Below are 23,196 nucleotides of genomic sequence, written 5' to 3' on the forward strand. Positions count from 1 at the left end.
AGGATATAAGAACTGGATTTTCAGAATGAATATTTATGGGATAATTTATTTAACTGACCAACTTTAAAAAAAGGTTAAAACACTTTCTTGGTTTATGGTGGATACCAAGCTATATATGCTTTACTATGAGTTTATGGAAAACTGCAATCAGTCTCAACTGAAAGGAAAATGTAGGCTGTTTGGGAGAAAGTTTTTACAATTGAAAAACTCAAGGGAAAATTGAAAGGAAAAGATTTTAGGAAAGAGAAAGAAACAGGGAGAGGAAGAAAAGAGGCTAGCCAACAACCTGCAGTAGTGATTCTGAGGAACTAATAGGAGACGAAAAACTGGATAAATTATAAAAGGATGACTGATACGGGGGCGCGGGGAGGAGGATGAAACCGGGGAAAATATTGAGAGAGACAGAAAGAAAAGGAGAAACTTATCTGAGGTTGGAAATAAAGAGAAGGTGACATTGGAGCGGATAGAAAGGAAGAAACGGCGTGGGATCTGGGAATGAGGCAGTGGGTGGAGAGAGAATGGGGAGACGACAGAGGATGAAGGGCAGCTGAGTGTGTCTGCGGGAGAAGGACCAAAGCAATCTGGGCGGAGCAGGTGGCAGAGGCAGCCGCGGAGGAGGCCCAGGGAACTGACGGGGATGCTCAGCCAGGCCCAGAGGATGCGCCCTGGCAGTCCCGGAAGACACCAGGAAAACAAGCAGAAACCGTAGCTAGGACTGGGGTGGCCAGGCCCAGGAAATCCATGAAGGGGACAGACAGCGGGTCCTGCTGCCGCCGCCGATGCGACTTTGGCTGCTGCTGTCGCGCGTCCCGCCGGGCTCACTACACGCCTTACCGGTCCGGGGACGCGACGCGAACCCCTCAGTCCCCACGGCAGACCCCGAGCCGGGAAAGACGGCGCCCGGAGCCAGCCGGGAGCTGAGCAGCAGCGGCCGAGGAGGAAGAAGCAGCTGCGGCGGCCACACCCTGGATGAGGTGAGAGCATGGCCAGCTCCTGCCTCTGGAGCCCGGGAGGCTGAGGAACGCGATGGGGGTGGCAACGCACGGTGCGCTGGGCAGGAGAACCGCGCGGAGGGCTGGGGCCCGGGACTGAAGATCCCGACGCCTGAGAGGGGTTGGCGCTGAGTGACTACTGCTTGGAGAAGGGTAGGGAGGTAATGGGGCCTGTGGTGGAGGCAGGAGGAGGGACAGTGTTGAGTTGCCCAGAAATAAAGGTGTGCCCCTGGAAGGGTTAAAGCATAGGAAGCTCGGTCTCTATCTCGAGGTCTTTGAGACACAGACATTTGCTGTGTTGATGGAGGTGAGATTGCAGGCTGTGTCTGTTGGGTTGAGCCAAAGGAGAGATGAACACATGACTCAGAAGGCTATACCAGGATGGAAACATCAGAGATGGGCATGAAAGATGAAGGATCGGGAAGTGCACCCGGACGAAAGCACACACTGCCATCTCTTATAGCTCTTCTTTTCAGGGTTATTTCTCTTAGATACAGATCGCAGGGTGGGGTGGGTGGTGATTCCCTCTTCCTGGGCTATCTCTTTTTCCCCTGCAGAGCTGGAGCCCTGCCTGATGGCTGGATGGAGGCCATGCAGGACAAGTTCCTTCTAAAATCAATCCTTTGCTTTGGCCTGGAAGACCGAACATATTAGGCTCAATTTTCTTCGTGTAGCAGCGGTAACATAAAAATCTGTCATACATACGATTTTTGGGAGAAGAGATAGATTGTGCTGCAGGCTTTTTAGAAATAAACATGTCCTCATCACAGCATTTTTAGCTTTTTATCTCATGGAAGGTAGTACTCATAAATCAAACTACCAGGCCTAGTGATTCCAGCCTCTGAGCTAACGGGTCTGTAAAAAGTTACTTCATTTCTCTAGGCCTCAGTTTCCCATGCATAAAATTGGAATTTGGATTAAAACAGTGCTAATTATAAAACTAAATGTTCATTGGATCTGTATTCTATGTTCAGGATAGCTATATTTGTGAACTATGAAATTTAGCCTATTCACTGACAATTTTATTTTTTCATAACACTATCCACTGTTTATGTCAGAAAACAGACTCACATTCAGTTAATAGAGCTTAAATAAATCACATGTCTTCTAAGGAACCCATAAGAAATTACTGCTCCTAAGAAAGAATTAAGCAAAAAGTATTCATTGTTTGATTTTTTTATAAAGTAAAATTTTTATTGCCTTATACAAATTACTTTTATAGACATAATTACTTTTTTAAAAAAGCATATCTATGGGATGTTAATTATTTTATAAAATACTTTGAAATTTTATTTAAAGCTTAGAACAAAAAAATTAATCTGAATGTGTATTTATAATTCCAAGGCTCCTTAATCACTTTACGCACACGGGGTGAATTCTTCTTATCTGGAAAGCAGCATTAATCCTGCAGAATTTGAAATGAATTATGACTCCTTATCACAAGAGTATGATTTTTCTCCCTGTCTTTGGTTAAAAAAAAGTTTGTAGGGTTAGAATTTGATCCTCTAAATTGTGGTTTAATTGTGAAAGTAGATAGCAAACATTCATGGTTTCCTTAATAGTTACTCATCTGACAAACTACACCTATATTCATCTTCGTTGATGTAATGATAAGTCTTGAAATGTTTTTAAAAAATTTCACAATTCCCAAATGAAACACTTACAGCAACTTGACTGAGGTTAGTACTACTTTGCCCTTTATTTAAAAATCAATTCCGCAGTTTAGCGTACTTTAAAAAATGTAACAACTTTAGCTATAGTGTTAGAGGTTTAATGAATGTTAGCGTATTAGAGGTTATACTTGGGGAGTGGTGTTTTTGGTACGATTTTCTAACTCTCAATCAACTAAAAAATGTAAAAAAGCAGCTTTGCACGTTATCCAAATTCAGTTCAGTTCAGTGTTACTTATTGAGCAATGATGGTGGAGGCCAGCACAAACTGGATACAAAACTACCCTCAGGTAACTCAGAATCTGTAGTTCTATAATATGCTTCAGTAACTGGAGTATGGAGTAAGTGCTGTAACAGAAAGATGAACTGTAGACCTCTCTCTCTCTCTCTCTCTCTCTATCTCTCCAAGGAAAGCTGACTTCCCTAACAGGCCATAGAAAGTGGCATTATCTTGGAAAATATGTTGAAATCTGGTCTTTAACTTGTTAAGTCTGTTTCTTTTCTTTTTCTTTCTTTCTTTTTTTTTTTTTTTTTCAGAGATGGAGTCTCACTGTGTTGCCTAGGTTGGAGTGAAGTGGTGCAATCATAGCTCCCTGCAGTCTCCAACTCCTGGGCTCAAGGGATCCTCTTGCCTTGGCCTCCCAAGTAGCTGAGATCACAGTTGTGTACCACCATTTCCGGCTACTTTTAAAAAATTATTTTGTGTAGAGATGGAGTCTTGCTATGTTGCCTAGGCTGGTCTCAAACTCCTGGCTTCAAGCAATCCTACCACCCCACCCTCCCAAAGTGCTGAGACTATAGGCATGAGCCACTGCACCCAGCCAAGTCTGCTTCTTAAACTGATAAATCACAGGACTACTATATAAACCCAGAATAACAAATTACTAATTTATAATGAGAATTTTAACATCTTAGGGAACTAGACTCTCTTTTATGATCCCAGCAAAATATCTCTTGGTATATGTGCCACATTTGAGAGCCAAATTACAGCCAAAAGGTTGTTTTTGAAACTTGAATCTAGAGCAAGAGGAATTAATTAGTGGATTCTAAATTTCAAATAATTTGATAGCTTCAGAGCATCAAGGTGTACACATAGGTTCTTTTTTCCTGGACAGTAAGTGTCCACTGATGATTGTCCTCCCTTCTTAGGTACATCTCTTTTTCTATCTCTGATATGCTAATATTTTCAGTCAGATTATAATCTGGTTTGGGGATCCTTGTGACTGTTTCAAGTGTCTACATTTATTCTCTAAATCAGTTTATCTTAATTGTAAAGTTTAAATTCTAAGTGGCAAGCTTATTTTCTTTAAGAAAAAATAATGATGGGGTAGGGAGGTGGGGCTGGGGTACCATATTACAGCCCCTACATGCTGGCAATATAAACCAGGTGGTTAATGGCACCTCTCTATGGTGCTAAAAGGCAGATGAGGCCGGTCACGGTGGCTCATGCCTGTTAATCCCAGCACTTTGGGAGGCCAAGGCCGGTGGATCACTTGAGGTCGGGAGTTTGAGATCAGTCTGGTCGACATTGTAAAACTCCATCACTAATGAAAATACAAAGAATTAGCTGGGTGTGGTGGTGTGCCTGTCATCCCAGCTACTCAGAAGGCTGAGGAAGGAGGATCACTTGAACCAGGGAGGCGGAGGTTGCAGTGAGCCGAGATTGCACCACTGCACTCCAACCTGGGTGGCAGAGTGAGACTCCATCTCAAAAAAGAAAAATTAAAAAATTAAAAAATTTAAAAAGGCAGATGATCAGAGATGGCTTTATACAGGAGGTGAATTTTTGTCTGGCTTGACAAGATAACAAAGCCAGGTTGAGTGGGAAGAAAATTTTGCCAAAAGAACACAAGCAGATTTATGACAGTGGGAAGATGCTTTATTGAAGTGAATCCCATGCTGTGATAGAAATTTTCTGTGAGGATTTAATTCAAACTCGATCCTTTTTCAAGTATATAACTATTTAAAAAGAGAAATTAAGTGAATTGTCAGCTGTTGGCCATCTGCCTCAATGTGTGCTTTTGAAGCCCAGCAGATTGCACATTCTGTGTAGGTGGATAGCTTGAAACCTGCAGACAACTGTCAGAGGACAATGACTTCAGAGAAGATTCAGTGAATTTCTAACATCAAACTTCAACTACTGTAATATGCTTGTCTAGCCATCTCTTTGTTGTTGCTGTTCTACAGCTTTATTGAGATATAACTGACATACAATAAACTGGGCAAATTTAAAGTGTGCAATTTGAAGTTTCAACGTATGTATATACCTGTGAAATCATCACCACAATCAAGATGACGAACTTATCCATGATCCCAAAAAGTTTCCTTCTGCCCTTTTTAAATTCCTCCTTCCCGCCCCTCTGCTTTTGTCATTATATATTACTTTGCATTTCCTAGAATTTCATATAAATGGAATCATACAGTATCTACTCTTTGTTGTTGTCTGGCTTCTTTCACTCAGCATAATTATTTTGAAACTTATCTATGCTGTTGTGGGTATCAGTAGCTCATTTCCTTTTGTTGCTGAGTAGTATTTCATTGTATGAATGTGCTACACGTTATTGATTCACCATTCGTTGAGTTGTTTCCAGTTTTATGGCTATTACAAATAAAGTTGCTATAATTATTTGTGCACATGTCTTTCATTTCTCTTGGGCACATTTCTCGAGGTATATAACACTAGGCACGCTTTTAAAGAAACTGCCAAATCGTTTTCCAAAAGGGTTGTACCTTTTACATTCCCACTAGCAATGTATGAAGGTTCTCATTTCTCCACATCCTTCTCAATACTTGTTACTGTACATCTTTTATATTATAGCCATTCTAGTGGGTGTGAAATCTTATTATGGTTTTTTGACTTAAATTTCCCTAATGATTAATGATATTGAGCTTTTTTTTCATGAGCTTGATTATTATCTACATATTTTTGGTAAAGTGTCTGTTGAAATATTTTGCCCATTTTCCATTGAGTTGTTTGGGTTTCACTGAGTTCATTGGGTTCATTTCATATTCTAAATGCAAGTTTTATTATATATGTTCTTTGCAAATATTTTCTCCCACTGTGCAGATTGTCTTTCCATTTTAGTAACAGTGTCTTTTGAAGACCAGACATTTTAAAATTTTGCTGTGGTAAATAAACATTATCAGTTTTTTCTTTTATGGTTCTGCTTTTAATGTCATATCTAAGAAATCATTACTTAATCCAGATTACAAAAATATTCTATTTTTTTCTAGAAGTTTTATAGTTTTGCATTTTTACATTTAGGCCTATGATCCATTTGAGTTAACTTTTGTATATGGTGATCAAGGTGTTTTTTTTTTCTTTTTTATCTTTTTTTTTTTTTTTTGCATGTAGATGTACAGTTGTTCTAACACTGTTTGTTAAGAGCACTATCCTTTTTCCATTTAATTGCCTTAGCACCTTTGTTCAAATCAATTGACCACATATATAATCGTCTGTATCTGGGTTTCTATTGTGTTTGACTGATTTATTTATCTGCCTTTATTTTTTTCTTTTTCTTTTTTTGAGATGGAGTCTAACTCTGTTGCCCAGGCTGGAGTGCAGTGGCACGATCTTGGCTCACGGCAACCTTCGCCTCCTGGGTTCAAGCAATTCTACTGCCTCAGCCTCCCTTATCCATCTTTAGACTAATACCAAACTGATTTGGTTACAGTAGCTTTATACGTTTTGAAATCACGTAGTCAAATGCTTGAGCTTTGCTCTTCTTATTCAAAATTGTTTTCATTGTGTTAGGTTCTTTGAATTTCCATATACATTTCAGAATTCACTTGTAAATGTAGACAAAAAGCCAGTGGGGTATTTGATTGGGGTTACATTGAGTCTATAGATCAACTTATAGAGAATTGATATCTTAACAACATTGGGTCTTCTGATGCATGAACATGACATATTATTTCATTTATTTTGGTTAATGGTTCTCCGCTAAGGGCAATTGTGCATCACAAGGGACATTTGACAGTATCTAGACACAAACAACTAGAGCATCAGAACCCCTTTGCTGTACCCACAGTCTTGTATTTACAGTCTATACTTCCATTCTTTCAGGAGGTTTGCTCCCAGAACTGGTGATATAAAGAAGGAAAGTAGCAGTATGAGCACTTTGAGGGCTAAGCAATGGGATAATATCTTTCTAAGAGAACAGTTAAATCAACTTCATTTGGTCTTCCATGGACATGAGTTTCAAGTGGCTTTCTGGCCTTTCTTCTGTTGGCCTCTTCGCTATTATGTGAAGACTTCATTTATACTCAATCTAATTCAGCTACCATGGGCCATATCACCAGTGCCCATTGTGTTCTATGCATCCTAATATTTTCATTAATCTGAAGGGGAGAGGGTTTTAACTTTGAAGGATACTCAAGAGGACTTTCTTATGAACTCAGATGGAAAGTGTCCTGAAATTTGTCCTTTTAAAAATATCTGTGCATTTTTTTGTGCTATGACATTCTTACATGTATCATTCTGTGATCAAATCTCCAGCTTACTATAAATGATACCTACATTCTAAAGAGCCAATTCTAGTTGTACCAGCATGGCCTTAGAGAAAAGTAAGGGAATACAATTTTTATTTATCTTCTATTTGGTTGGAGTTAAGTATTTAAAACAGTAAGGTAGATCTCAGATCCACCACCATTAAAAATAAATAAATAAATAAATAAATAAATAAATAAAATAGTAAAGTAGAAAGAAGAGACAAAGATCCAAACCTTTCAAAATGAAAAATGAATTTTAAATATAAGGTTATATTTTATTACCTACTGCTGAGACCATCATTGCATAAATGAATAAATAGAACTAAATAGTCCAGTCACAGTGGCTCACGCCTGTAATCCCAGCACTTTTGGAGGCCGAGGCACGCAGATCACGAGGTCAGGAGACAGAGACCATCCTGGCCAACATGGTGAAACCCTGTCTCTGTTAAAAATACAAAAGTTAGCTGGGCGTGGTGGCATGCGCCTGTAATCCCAGCTACTCGGGAGGCTGAGGCAGGAGAATCGCTTGAACCAGGGAGGCAGAGGTTGCAGTGAGCCAAGATCACACCACTGCACTCCAGCCTGGTGACACAGCGAGACTCTGTCTCAAAAAAAAAAAAAAAAAAAAAAGAACTAAATAAACTCTTCTTCCCCCACAAATTTACCAGTTTAGCCATTTTAAGTGTACAGGTCAGTAGCTGCATTAAGTACATTCACATTATTGTGCAACAAGTACCACCATCCATCTCCAAAATTTTCTCTTTTTCCAAAACTGAAACTCTGTATCCATTAAACAGTAGCTACCCATTCTCCCTCCCCTACCTCCTGGTAACCACTATTCTACTTTCTGGCTCTATGAATTTGACTACTCTAGCCACCTTTTATAAGTGGGATCATATATTTGTTGTTTTGTCTCCAGCCTATTTCACTTGGCATAATCTCTTTTAGGGTCATCCGTGTTGTAGCATGTGTTGTAATTACGTACTTTTTTGTGTGTGAGATAGTCTTACTCTATCATTCAGGCTGGAGTGCACTGGCACAATCATGGTTCAATGCAGCTTTGACCTCCTGGGCTCAATCGATCCTCCCACATTGGCCTCCCAAATGGCTGGGATTACAAGCAATTTTTTTGATATTTTTGTAGAGATGGGGTCTCAGTTTGTTGCTCAGGCTTATAATGATGTACCTTTTAAAAGGCCAAATCATATTCCATTGTATGTTTATACAACATTTTATTAATCCATTCATCTGTTAATGGAAATTTCAGTTGTTTCCACCTTTTGCCACTGTGAATAATGCTGCAACAGATATGGATGTACAGATGTCTCTTTGTGTCCCTGTTTTCAATGCTTTTGGGTTGCAAAAGAAGAGGGATTTTTGCATATATGGTAATTTTATATTTAATTTTTTGGAACGACCATACTGTTCTCTACAGCAGCTGCACCATTTTACATTTCCATCAACAGTGTACAAGGGTTTCAGTTTCCCCATATCTTCATGAACACTGATATTTTCTGTTTTTGTTTTTTAAAATAATTGCCATCCTAATGGGTATAAAGTGAAATATCATTGTGGTTTTGATTTGCATTTCCTTACTGATTAGTGATGTAAAAGATATTTTTAAAGTTTCATATTTACTGACATATTTACCATTTCCAATATTCTTCATTATTTTCATCTGGTATCATTTTCCTTCTGCCTGAAAGAATTTCTTTAATCCTTCTTATTCTTGTGCAGATTTGCTGGTGGGAAAATTCTTTCAGCTTTTGTATGTGAAAAAGTCTTTATTTCACCTTCATGTTTGAAAGATATTCTTGCTGGTTATCAGGACTGACTACATACTTTGTGGGGCTCAATGCAAAATAAAAATGTAGACCCCTCTGTTCAAATATTATTAAGAATTTCAAGTCATCAACAACAGAGCATTAAACCAAGCCCGTCCTTCTGAGTGCAAAGCCCTGTGTGACTACACGGGTTGTATGCACAAGAAACCTACTCTGCTGGTTGTAGAATTCCAGGTGACTGCTCTTTTTTTCCTTCAGCTCTTTAAAGATGTTGCTCTGTTGTCTTTTTTTTTTTTTCTGAGATGGAGTTTCGCTCTTGTTGCCCAGGCTAGAGTGCAATGATGCCATCTCGGCTCACCGCAACCTCGACCTCCCGGGTTCAAGTGATTCTCCTGCCTCAGCCTCCTGAGTAGCTGGGATTACAGGCATACGTCACCATGCCCAGCCAATTTTGTATTTTTAGTAGAGATGGGGTTTCTCCATGTTGGTCAGGCTGGTCTCGAACTGCTGACCTCAGGTGATCTGCCCTCCTCAGCCTCCCAAAGTGCTGGAATTACAGGCACGAGTCACTGCGCCTGGCTTCTCTGTTGTCTTTTAATTTTCAAGTTATGCTCTCATTCTTATCCTTGTTTCTCTCTATATAATGTTCTTTTTTCTCCTGAATACTTATAAATTTTTCTCTTTATCACTGATCTTAAGCAATTTGATTAAAATGTGCCTAGGTGTGGTTACTTTCATGTTTCTCGTGCTTTGGATTTGTTACACTTACCGGATCTGTGTGTTTACAGTTTTCATTATACTTGGACAATTTTCAGCCATTATTTTTTCAAAAATTTTTGTTGCCCTCTATAACTCCTTTCCTTTAGGGACTTCAGTTACATATATATTAGGTCATTTAAATTTTTCCCATTGATCACTGATGCTCTGTTCACTTTTTGTTTTCTTTTCCTTGTTTTATTTTTGGATCATTTTCATTGCTATGTCTTTAAGTTCACTAACTTTTTCTTCTACAGTGTCTAATCTGTTGTTAATTCCATCCAGTGTATTCTTCATCTCAGATATTGTCTTTTTCATCTCTAGAAGTTTGTAACTTTCATGTATTAATTTTTTTTCTTTTTTTTTGAGATGGAGTTTCACTCTTGTCAATGTTACGGTCTCAGCTCCTTGCAACCTGCAATCTCTGCCTCCTGGGTACAAGCAATTCTCCTGTCTCAGCCTCCTGAGTAGCTGGGATTACAGGCACCCACCACCACGCCTGGCTAATTTTTGTATTTTTAGTAGAGATGGGGTTTCACCATGTTGGCCAGGGTGGTCTCAAACTTCTGACCTCAGGTGATCTGCCCACCTCCTCCCAAAGTGCTGGGATTACAGGCGTGAGGCACTGTGCCCCGCCCATGTATTAATATTTTACTTCATTTTATCAATCTTTGTTCTACTTTCTTGAACATTTAAAATACTATAATAACAATTCTAACATTTGTTCAGTTCTGAGTATGTTTCTGGTAATTGATTTTTCTCTTCATTTTAAGTACTGTTTCCTGCTTCTTTGCACACCTGGCAATACTTTGATTTGATACCACACATTAAACATTTTACATATTGGGTGTTAGATAGTTTTGCATTCCCATAAACATTATTGAGCTTTATTCTGGGTCACAGTTAAGTTAGTTGGAAACAGATCCTTCTTGATCTTAAGCTTCATTATGGGGAACCCAAGCAACTTTTTAAAGATGATTAATTTTCCCCATTACTTGGGTGATACCCTTCTAAGTACTCTAGCCAATATCCTGTTAATTATGAGGCTTTTCCCACTTTAGTAGATGATGAAACAAACTACTTCCAGCCTTGTATGAGCCAAGAGGATTGTTTAATCTGATTCTCTTGTGTGGTTCTTACCCCAACCTTGGTAGTTTCCTGATATACCGATCAGTATTCAGCTGAATATTTAAGGAGACTCTCCACAGATCTCTGGAATTTTCTATTCTTTCTGGTACTCTTCCCCATGAACTCTACCTGCCTTGGCCTTCTCAAATCTCTGCATGATCTCTTCAACTCAGGCAGATCACCAGGCTCTGCCTGGATTCCCTCTCTGTGAGCTCTGGGGCAGTTAAGTAGGACAGTTGTATGGCTTACTTTGCTTGTTTCTCTCTTCTCTTGGATAACTTTCCTATGTTGTCTGATATCCAGTGTCTGAAAATAATTATTTTATATATCTTGTCCTATTTTTTAGTAATTTCTGTCAGGGGTGAAGGGGAATGAATACCAACCCTATTACCGCATGCTGTCTGGAAGTAGAAGTGTCTTTCTAGCCACGTTATAAATTAGTAGTTTTCAACCCTGACTACATATTAGAATTATTTGGGGGAGGTCTTTAAAAAGCTGATGTAAGGCTTCATTCCAGACCAATTAAATCAGACTTTTTCAGATTGAGGTCTTAGCATCAGTGTTCTTTAAATGCACTACAAGTTTTCTCATGTATACCAGGGTTAAAGAACCTCCATATTAAAGAAAAGGTTGCATTTATAGATCATTCTGAGAAACTTTTGTATTCTGTCATTTCAGCTAAGACACAGAGGCGGTTGGCTTTTATTTTTGTAGACAGTGTGGAATTATAGAAGCTTTTAAAGAAGAGTCTGGCAGACATAGATCTTTGTTTTAGAGTTGTAAGTGTGGCAATCGTGTGAGAGATGGGCTTAAGTGGATTGAGTGAAGATCACTGAGAAACTGTTGCAAGTGGTTCACGGCCAAAGGTAATAAGGGCCTGAACACAGGCACTGGTATTGGGAATGGCGAGGAAGAGATAGGTTGGAGAATTTGAGTTAGAACTGATAGGGTTTTTTGATTAATTGAGTGTGGGAAATGAGGGAGATGGTGGAAACAAATGTTATTCTCCAGTTTATTACTCTAGACAAGTAAACTCTGTCTAAACAAATTCCTAGGCCAGTCAGAGAGTAAATAGTAATTTCATTAACTGAGATAGATAATATGGTATGAGAAGCAGATGTCAGGGAAAGGAGAGAATTAATTTAGTTTGGGATATCCAAAAAGATATCTCATGGAACTGTCTCCTGACCTCTAGTTTATTCTGAATCATAGGACAGAGAAGACATTTAAAAGCATATCTTTTTAGTATGCTGTATAATTTTGAACAGATTTATCTTTCTTCTTTTATTTGACTTAATATTGAAATCTGTTTATATCTTTTTTTTTTTTTTTTTTTTTGAGGCGGAGTCCTGCTCTGTTTCCCACGCTGGCGTGCAGCGGCGCGATCTGGCTCACTGCAAGCTCCGCCTCCTGGGTTCACGCCACTCTCCTGCCTCAGCCTCCCGAATAGCTGAGACTACAGGCGCCCGCCACCACACCCGGCTAATTTTTTGTATTTTTTAGTAGAGATGGGGTTTCACCGTGTTAACCAGGATGGTCTCCATCTCCTGACCTCGTGATCCGCCCGCCTCGGCCTCCCAAAGTGCTGGGATTACAGGTGTGAGCCACTGAGCTCGGCCGAAATCTGTTTATATCTCTTAAACAAACATCAGTTAATACTGCAAGAAAGTAGATGTTGGCCGTGCGCGGTTGCTCACGCCTGTAATCCCAGCACTTTGGGAGGCCTAGCGGGGCAGATCACCTGAAGTCAGGAGTTTGAGACCAGCCTGGCCAAAATGGTGAAACCCCCTCTCTACTAAAAATACAAAAAATTAGCCAGGCGTGGTGGCAGGCGCCTGTAATCCCAGCTACTCAGGAGGCTGAGGCAGGAGAATCACTTGAACCCAGGAGGCGTAGGTTGCAGTGAGCCAGATCGCGCCACTGCACTCCAGCCTGGAAACTCCATCTCAAAAAAAAAAAAAAAAAAAAAAAGAAAGAAAGTAGTTGTCTTCTAGATGACAAAATGTCAAGTCAGAGATTATTGCAGACTTTTGTTTTGTTTTGGGTTTTTGACTGTGGGTGTGTCCATTCCTCCCTTCTTTGGACAATAGCCCTACTTTTTTTTGGGGGGGGGGGTGGCTAGAATTGTCTTCTTTGCCATGGTTTATAGTCTTGGTGGGAAGTTTGTTTAAGGTATCCCGAGCTAAATGATAATCTTGAGACCCACACGAGGATGATCTGATTTTTTATTTATTTATTTATTTATTTATTTATTTATTTATTTATTTATTTTTGAGGCGGAGTCTCGCTGTTGCCCAGGCTGGAGTGCAGTGGGGCGATCTCGGCTCACTGCAGGCTCCGCCCCCTGGGGTTCACGCCATTGTCTTGACTCAGCCTCCAGAGTTAACTGGGATTACAGGCACCCGACACCTCGCCCGGCTAATTTTTCGTATTTTTAGTAGAGACGGGGTTTCACCGTGTTAGCCAGGATGGTCTCGATCTCCTGACCTCGTGATCCGCCCGCCTCGGCCTCCCAATGATCTGATTTTTTGAGCATTGCATCATCAGTGGAACAACATAAGAGTAGAAAAAAGTGGCCAGAACCAATCGGCCCCTTCTTGCTACCTAGATCCTAATTGCTTCCCCTGTTCCTGCCGCTCCCTATTCCTGCCCCTTCTGAGCCTGTTCTTTTGAGTCTTCAACTGTTCCTTTGATTCTGTGGGTCTCCTCTTCCAGTAAATCCTATTTTAAAAAATAGTATAGCTGGAGTCTGTTCACTGATCTTTCCAAAAGGTATATATGGAATGGCAGGCACAATACTAGGTGCTAGAATAAAATGAGGAACAAGATTATTGGATAAAGGCTCAGTGAGGACGTAGACAGAAAACAAATAAATAAATATACAAATAAAGTGATTTCTGATATTAATAAAGTTTATTTTAAAAAAACTTCGTTAGAGAGGAATTAAAGCAGGAGGTGAAAGAACTGCAAAACCCCTAAGGTAGAAATAAGCTTAGTGTGTTTGAGGAAGAAAATGGCCAGTGCAGCTGGAGCATAATAAATAAGAGGAGGGGGCAGAGGTGAACCTGAGCCAGGTCACCTGAGACCTCATAGGCCGTGGTAAGAAGTGGATGTTATTCTAAGGACATGGGGAAGCCAATGAAGATTTAAAACAGGAACATCATATGATCTGAAAAATATTAAAAAGTCACTTTGCTATTGGAAAACAGACCTTAGGAGGCCAAGAGTGGAAGGAAGGGAGCTGCTTTGCTGGCTATTGCAGTAAGTAACACCAATGTGAGATCATAGCGATTTACATCATGGCGGTAGCAGCGGGGCTGGTAAGAAGAGAAGGACTGAGCCTTCTAGCAGATAACTTGGTACCCTGCAGATCCCGAAAACAAAACCAACAAAGAAGATAACTGGGGGATAAAAAAAGACAACTTCATGGTTGGAGTCTTTATATTAAGTTTTGTTTGAAGCCTCTGTTTGAGGTTTTTTGCTTCACCCTGGTGGAGGTTTTCTCCCCAGTCATTATGAGGGTGGGAGTTAGATGGTGGGACAAAGAGATAGAGGTCACTCAAATGAAAAGGACCCTGGATAGTATTAGGAATATCTTCACACAGGGTTGCATATGGTGACCAAATGGTGGTAGCGCCCACGGTGGGAGGGGTAGCAGACATGGTGATGGTATTTCCCTAGAACAGGGGTCCCCAGCCCCCAGAGCATGGACTGGTACTGGTCCTGGCCTGTTAGGACCCCGGCTGCATAGCAGGAGGTGAGTGGCAGGCCAGCGAGCATTACCCCTGAGCTCCACCTCCTGTCGATCAGCAGACCAGCAGCTGCATTCAATTCTCATAGGAACGGGAACCCTATTGTGAACTGGGCATATGAAGGATCTAGGTTGCCTGCTTCTTATGAGGATCTAATACCTGATGATCATTCCAAATCCATCCCCCACCCTGTCCATGGAAAAGTTGTCTTCCTTGAAAATGGTTCCTGGTACCAAAAGGGTTGGAGACCACTGCCCTAGGACACTTTAACCTCTTCATGAAGTTGCCTGTTCTCTTAGATTTATTTGCTAGAGCAGCCTCATAACTATAGGTGATTCATACTAGGTCTCACAGGAGTTCCAAACAGAATTCTGTAATGATTTTATATTGTGAAACCTGACATCTCATGGCAGCAACATTATCATTATCACCATAATTACATATATAATTACATGATTAATATTTATTGAGTAAATGATAAATGCTAGGCCCTATCTTAAACATTTCATAAGAATAATATTATTTAATTCTCACTATAATTCTGTGAGAAAGATGCTATCGTGATCCCGTTTTATAGAGAGGTTAGGTAATTTGACAAGATCACACAGTTATGAAATGGTAGAAGTTGTGTTTAATTGGCAGGTGTTGATTTTCTGTTTCATGTGTATTAGAGTAATTGTTTTTGTGCATCTTGTATGTTTTTAAAATTTTTTCCTAGGTTTGCTTTTTGTTAAAAAGTAAACCAAAACAAAACAAATGAAGACTATAAAACGAAAACCTTTGGTAGAACTTGGGCAAAAATGGTCTGGTCTTCAAGTTAGCATACCAAGTATGAAAATGTCATCTGTTTAAAAATACTAAGCTGCATGATTAAAATTTGACCTTGTGAAAATTTGCTTTCTAATTTATATGGCACACCACCTGAAGGCCAGCACAGAGAAATATATGACCTGTTTAAAACGAAAGGAAGTGTACCTGGGCACGACCAAGAATCTATCAAAAAAGCATCAGAAAGCTCCATATTAAGGTTAATAAAAATAGGTGAACCGCACATTTCAAAGGAGAATCTGGGACACTATTCAAATAACAAAGACTTAAAGCAGGCTGGGTTCACTGCCCAGAATAATAGGCACATGCATTTACAGAATGGGGGGATTTTGTCCACTGTACGCATGCTCATTCACACTCACATCTAACCCTACAACACCAGCTCCGAGAAAGTGGATGCAATGAAGGAAATGTTAACATGAGCGGTGACCCTAGTGTACAAACAATATCAAATTTTAGATTCTTTTTGTTTCCATGATAGTCTAATCTGTATTATCTTTTGGCTATATCAACCTTGACTTTGAAATCTCCAAATAAACATTTCAACCAAAATGTACGGCTGTATTGTAATTTCAGCAAGAAGGGTTTTCATTGTTTGCACATATCTTCAAAAAGAAAAAAAAGTGTGCTTGGTAGTAATCAAAAGCACATTCTCGAGTGAGCATGCTTTGGTGGTATATTCTACAGACTGGGAAAGGTCCTACTTATCACTCTCAAATTTTCAGCATACATCTAGTTTCCTGATGTGCAGCGTTAAAAAACTGCTCTGACTTCTTTGTCTTTCTTTACTGTAGAGAGAATAATAGCTTCTTTGTGAATGGGAGAGCTGGGTCTCTAACTCCACAGAATGACCTTGGATTGGGGAAAGGTTCAGAAGTCTGTGTGTTTGTTACTATTACTATTGCTGCATAGCAAATCACCTCAGTGGCTGAAAACTGCAAGTATTTAGTACTCACAGTTTTGGAGGGTCAGAAATCTGGGAGCAGCTTAGCTGGTTAGAATTGCCTCAAGTTCTCTCATGAGGTTGCAGTCAAGCACTCAGCTGGGGCTGCTGTCATCTCAAGACTCGACAGGGGCTGAAAGGTCCGTTTTCAGACTCACGCACACGGTATTTGGCAGGCTTTAGTTCCTGTCCACACAATAGGTCTGCTTATAACACGGTAGCTTAGTTCCCCCAGCACAACTGATCTAAAAGAAAGAGAGCATGCATACTCCAAATGGAAGCCACAGTTGTTTTTGCTTTTTAAAAAATAATCTAATCTCGGAAGCAACATTCCGTCACTGCTGCCCTACTGTATTCATTACAAATGAGTACTAGATCCATCCCAGACTCAAGGCGAGGGAATTACACAAGGGTTTGATGACCAGGGATCACTGGGGACCAACTTAGAGACTGCCTATTACAGTCTGCATCCATTACCTGAGCTCCTGGACACCAGAGGAGCAGCAGAATTAGTTCTCTCTTTCTTCTTCTGGAACAAGACTAGTACAAACTAAGCACAAAAGGGAAGGGGGAGTATAACCAGAGCTGAGGCTGAAGACTATGCCAAGCTATGTAAGCCTTATTAAAGATTTTTGTCTATATCCTCAGAACAATAACAAACTCAGACTCTGCTTGCCTCAGTCATCCCTTCAACCACCGCTGGAAGACATTGCTGGCAGTGACTGGCCCTGGGGACTTCAGTGTCTTCTTGCGTGCCTTAAAGGCTAAGGTTCACATCTATGGCTCCAGTGTCCTACCCGAGGGTAGGTTAAAAGAATGACATGGGTGACTCAAGACTAGAGAAGTGCCTGGCCCTGTGAGGCAGACATATTAATAGTTTGAGAGGCAAGAAGTCGGGCCCCAGGTTCCCACCATGAGGAACTAGGAAGCCATAGAAGGAAAATGCAAATGCCACACACCTGCAGGTGCCTGGCGGGTAGCATAAATAAGTGAACCTGCTTAGGTGTAAGGGCATAGGGAATAGTGTTGGTGACTGTGACTGTGACTTTCTGGACCATTGACCAAACAAAATACATCAGTGAAGGCAAGTCTCTAGGATAGTACCACCAGCAGGGGGCACCTGCAGATGGTTTTCATTGTCACAAAATTAGGTTTGGTACTTGGGGATGAGCAGCTATTCACAGTAGAGAAGCTCCAGTTTGAAGTATCCTACACTACTTGAATTCACTACAGGCTGCATGGAGGAAGCAGCATGGCCACTTTGATTTCCAGAACTACCCGTACACAATGTGAAAAGAAGAATAGAGGTGAGGTGGATTTGGTTTTGGAGGTGAGTGAGCAGGTGCCTCCAAATAAGAGTTGGGGCTCAAGGTTTTCTTTAAAAAGATAGACTCTTGAAAAATTGCACTCTAGTTACATTAGTGCCAACTCATGAGGTCACCTGTTCTTTTTTCCCTCTCCCATTATCTCCCCTTTCTACCCCATTCTACCCTCTCCCTGATGCCCTATACATCACAGAAACTTGCCCTTGAGATGTAAGACTGTTTGGAAGGAGGTTGGAAGAGCTGGCCTTGGCTCAGAGAGTTGCTTTTACCTTGTGGTATCTTAAAGGTGCCACCTGATGTCCAACCATTCATAACAGACAGAGAGCTGTTGCCAACAAGGTCAGCAGAACATAGCACTAGAGAGCACCAGAGGAGACACCTAAAGATGTGGCTTTTGGCACATCATCTGGGGATGAACAAGTTGGGCCTGGACTAGGACGAAGCAAGTAAGACACTCCCTGAATCATGAAAATGCAGGGTCAGATCCTGTCTTTATTTAAAGTTTTGATATTTTGTTCATTGTGGATTTGTTTTGCATTACTATTTTTCTAAAATATTGCATTAAAATATGATTTATCTTGATTACCGAGATTTTGGCACGCTTTAAACTTCGCACCTCAGGTGAGTGCCTTGCTCCTCTCATCCTAGTTCCAGCCCTGAATACCTTAACAGTTGAATCAAAGTTTGAACCAATTGATCTGGTCCATCAGCACCAGACCCTTCTGGTTTGGATTTTTTTTTCCCTCCCTCTATCTCCTAAGAATGTACCGAAGCCAGCAAATAAAGGATGCAATAATTCTCTTCTGTATACCACAAGCTCTGAGCCTGGGCCAGCTTGGGTATTTCTGTACCTCTCTGTCTGTTATTATTATATCACACGCATAGCCTAAAACTGGGATACTTTTATCTGAATAAAAGATTATTCTGGTCGAAAGGAATTGTGATGGTTAATGTTGGATGTGCTTGTTCTTTTACCAAACTGATATAATGTTTTGTTTTGGTTTTTGAGACGGCGTCTGGCTCTTTCACCCAGGCTGGAGCGCAGTGGCACAGTCTCCACTCACTGTGACCTCTGCCTCCCAGGCTCAAGCCACTTTCCTACCTCAGCCTCCTGAGTAGCTGGGACTACAGATGTGCACCAGCACGCCTGGCTAATTTTTGTTGTATTTTTTGTAGAGATGGGTTTCACATGTTGCCCAGGCTGGTCTCGAACTACTGTGCTCAAGCCATCTGCCTGCCTCACCTCCGACAGTGCTGGGATTACAGGCATGAGGCGTGGCACCCTACCCCTATGGCATTAACTCCTAAAGCCACTTGAACTTTGCAAAGATAAAGGACTGTTGAGTTTTGCTCACCTTTTGTCCAGAATTGCCAGATGTTTGATACGGTACTCAACAGCTCAGTATTTTGACATTTTATATGCTAAAATAAAAATGAAAACAAAAGCGAATACAGAACGTGAGATTTTTCTCATTAAAATTTCTTCCTCGTGTGAAGCTTTCTGAGGCTGTATCTTGATATTTTTGAACCTTTGCCAGCTGGAAGAAAGGACAAAACAGCTGTTCTAAACTGCCAAGAAATTGGCTGGTGCATAGAAGAGGGAATTTGTCTTTGTTGTATATTTTGCCTTTGTCCTGGGAGTGATTATTTTGATCAGCACTTTTGGTTGTACAGATGTGAGCCAAATATCTAGCAGAGGGTAGCTCCTGATTTTAGTTAAGTAATTCACTGCTGAGACTTCAGATTATGATGTAAAGTGTTCTTCTGCTTAATAGTGATAAAAGCTGACCTGAAAAGGGTGTTATATTCTTTTTTTTTTTTTTTTTTTTTGAGACAGAGTCTCACTCTGTCACCCAGGCTGGAGTGCAATGGGACGATCTCAGCTCACTGCAAGCTCTGCCTCCCGGATTCACGCCATTCTCCTGCCTCAGCCTCCCGAGTAGCTGGGACCACAGGCACCCGCCACCACGTCCAGCTAATTTTTTGTATTTCTAGTAGAGATGGGGTTTCACCGTGTTAGCCAGGATGGTCTCGATCTCCTGACCTTGTGATCCCCCCGCCTTGGCCTCCCAAAGTGCTGGGATTATAGGCGTGAGCCACCATGCCCGGCCAAGGGTGTTATATTCTTTTACATAATACAGTTATGCAACGATTTTAAATATTCTTCGGAGATACACATTAAATATTTAGGGGTGAAGAATCTACATCTTACTCTCAAATAGTTCATCAAAATAATACTAATGTTTGTGTCTGTGTGCTTGTGTGTGTGTGTGTGTGTGTGTAAAGAGAGAAAACAAATGTGGCAAAATGTGAACGATCTATGAAGCAATTGAAAGATTTACAGGACTTTATTGTGCTAGTTTTACAACTTTACTATATGTTGAAAATTTTAAATTTTTCAAGCTGGAAAGTTAAAAAAATCAGTGTTACTTTTCACTCATATGTGTGTATGAGTGAAAGTTATTATATATGGCTTCAGGGACCAGCTAGTAGATGGCATGATACAAGAAACAAAGGCAAGGACCATGGATATATATGGCTATCTTGTCCTTAGAGGTATTTTTTCTTTTTTTTAAGAGACAGGGTCTTGCTCACTGTCACCCAGGCTGGAGTGCAGTGGTGTGATTACAGTTCACTGTAGGCTCAACTCCTGGGCTCAAGTGATCCTCCCACCTCAGCCTCCAGAGTAGCTGGAACTAGTGGTTTGCACTACCATCCCTAGATAATTTTTAAATTTTTTTTTGTAGAGACAAGATCTCGCTATGTTGCACAGGCTGGTTTCGAACTCCTGGCCTTAAGTGATCCTCCTGCCTCAGCCTCCTGAAGTGTTGAAATTATAGGCATGAGCCACTGAACGTGGCAGCAATATTTTTTTTTTCTAATTCAGAATCCAATCCAAGATCTGAACTAGGATCATGCATTCCATTTAGTTATTGTTATCACTATGGATTTTTAAAGCAGTCTGGATTGATTGACACATGCTCCTTTGACTTGTACTGGAACTACTTGCCCCATCCTGGAAAATGACTCGGATTTTAGCGATGGTGTGATTGTCATGAATGCCTTGAAAGCTATTTATGAATTTATTCCAGTATTGTTTCTGGTCCCAGAAATGTATTTATTGACCCCAACATCAGTCCCTTCAATTTTTGAGATCTGATATCTATGTTCAAATCAAGGAGAATTATTCATGTAATTCACACAAGTCTTCCCTCACTATTCCAACCCCCTTTCCAGAAATTTACATACCATATTTCTTGCATGATTTCCCCTCTCCCAACGTCAGATACAGATAAATAGTGGGTGTTGAAAGGATAAAGGGGATTGTGTGAGTAAATTACCACCAGCTGTCTGAAGGCTTGGTTGTAATTTCTTTCCTTGAGGTTTGAGGTTTTTGTTATGGCTGACAGACAAGGCTAACCATTGAAAGGGATGGATCTGAATAAACACACACACACGGTTGACAGTAATTATTTATTGAATGAATGAATGAATGAACGAATGAATGAGATAATGCATCAGAAATACTGTGTACATTTTAAGGCATTGTCCCAGTTGTCTATTCCTGCATAAACACACACACACACACACACACACTCACACACACACTTCCTCAAGACAGATACAAGATGGGGGAAATGTCCACCTTTTCTGCTCCCTAGACCTCCAGCCAGCAAGTGAGGAAATCCAATTATTCAGCTTCCTTGCCAATGCTTTGGTCTCACATGATAAATCAGAAAGATGAGAAATGGAAAATCTGGGTCACTGGCCTAGCCCTAGGGAGCACTTTGGAGCAGAACTGAAATTAAAATTCATGACTTCTACACAGTATTGGAGTCCTGCCTGGTATGCAAACATTAATGAAAAATAGCTATGATTTATAGAATGCTTAAAATGTGCTAGACAATGAATTAAAAACTTTTCATATATTAGCTCATTTTGTTCTTACAGTGGCCCTATTAGGTAGTTATTATCATTAACCTTGTTTTACAAATGAGGAAGCTAAAGCACAGAGTTTAAGTCATGTCCAAAATTGCATGGTTGGAAATTGACAGAGGAGGAGGATTGGAACCCATGTCCCTGACTGTAGAGCCAGTAATCTTAACTGCTCTGTTGTAATGCCTGCCAGCAACCTCAGCTGCACTGCACCGCTCTTTCAGATGAATGGGACCCTAGGCACTCACTCACAGGAGACCGGGAATATTTTTCCTTCTACCAGAGAAAAATAAAATTGTTTTCATCAATACTGTTTTTAAGTTAATTTTTTAATTGACAAATAGTAATTGCATATATTTATGGGGTACAATGTTTTGATATATGCATATACTGTGGAATGATGAAAACAAGCTAATAATATTTTTTAATTTTAAATAAAAGCACTGTATTTTGCAATCCCAATGTATGATAAAATTTTATATTGCTAGATACTTCAGTACTCTACTCAGATACTACCTTCTTTAGAAAAACTTCTCTGGTGGAATTTAATTAATCACTCCCTCCTTCATGTTCTGCTTGTGTAGCACTTTACCCGATCTGGTTTGTATTATGGTTTGATGAATGCTTGCCTGGCTTTCCACACTAGATTTTAACACTGGATTTCTACACTAGATTTTAGCAATGCCTAGCACATGCTCTGTGTTTGTTTAATTAAATGAAGGACAGGTAACCACACTGTCCTTGAGTTTTACCAACTGTGGAAATAAAATTATGTCCCGTGAGCATTAGCTGCCTCTGAACTCCTACCTGTTCACTTAGGAAATTAAGTCCCTTACAAATTCCCCTGTACCCCACAAATACTTCTGCTTTTTCCAAGAATTGTTTTCTCTTCTAAACTGCTCCTGGTCCTGATTTTGGTTGTTCCGAGTCACAGCTGGCACTTTGCCTACTATGTATAGTCTTCAGAGCCACACATCCTCCTCCAAACCCTCCTGCCCCATTCCACTCCAGCTACTGAAGGGCAGATCTTTTCATTCTTTTTTTTTTTTTTTTTATACTTTAAGTTCCAGGGTACATGTGCACAACATGCAGGTTAGTTACATATGTATACATGTGCCATGCTGGTGAGCTGCACCCATTAACTCGTTATTTACATTAGGTATATCTCCTAATGCTATCCCTCCCCGGCCCCCCCACCCCACAACAGGCCCCAGTGTGTGATGTTCCCCTTCCTGTGTCTATGTGTTCTCATTGTTCAATTCCCACCTATGAGTGAGAACATGCGGTATTTGGTTTTTTTGTCCTTGTGATAGTTTGCTGAGAATGATGGTTTCCAGCTTCATCCATGTCCCTACAAAGGACATGAACTTATCATTTTTTATGGCTGCCTAGTATTCCATGGTGTATATGTGCCACATTTTCTTAATCCAGTCTATTATTGATGGACATTTGGCTTGGTTCCAAGTCTTTGCTATTGTGAATAGTCCCGCAATAAACATACGTGTGCATGTGTCTTTATAGCAGCACGATTTATAATCCTTTGGGTATATACCCAGTAATGGGATTGCTGGGTCAAATGGTATTTCTAGTT

At 40.4% G+C, this 23,196-nt stretch overlaps 1 pseudogene; it reads left to right on the forward strand.

Annotated features, from left to right (window-relative positions):
* Nucleotides 1-670: 670 nt before the first annotated feature.
* The window catches only part of LOC100996723 (uncharacterized), a 123,106-nt pseudogene continuing 100,580 nt past the window's right edge, over nucleotides 671-23,196 (forward strand).

Source organism: Homo sapiens, chromosome 1 (genome assembly GCF_000001405.40).
Source record: "Homo sapiens chromosome 1, GRCh38.p14 Primary Assembly".
Taxonomy (NCBI): Eukaryota; Metazoa; Chordata; class Mammalia; order Primates; family Hominidae; genus Homo; species Homo sapiens.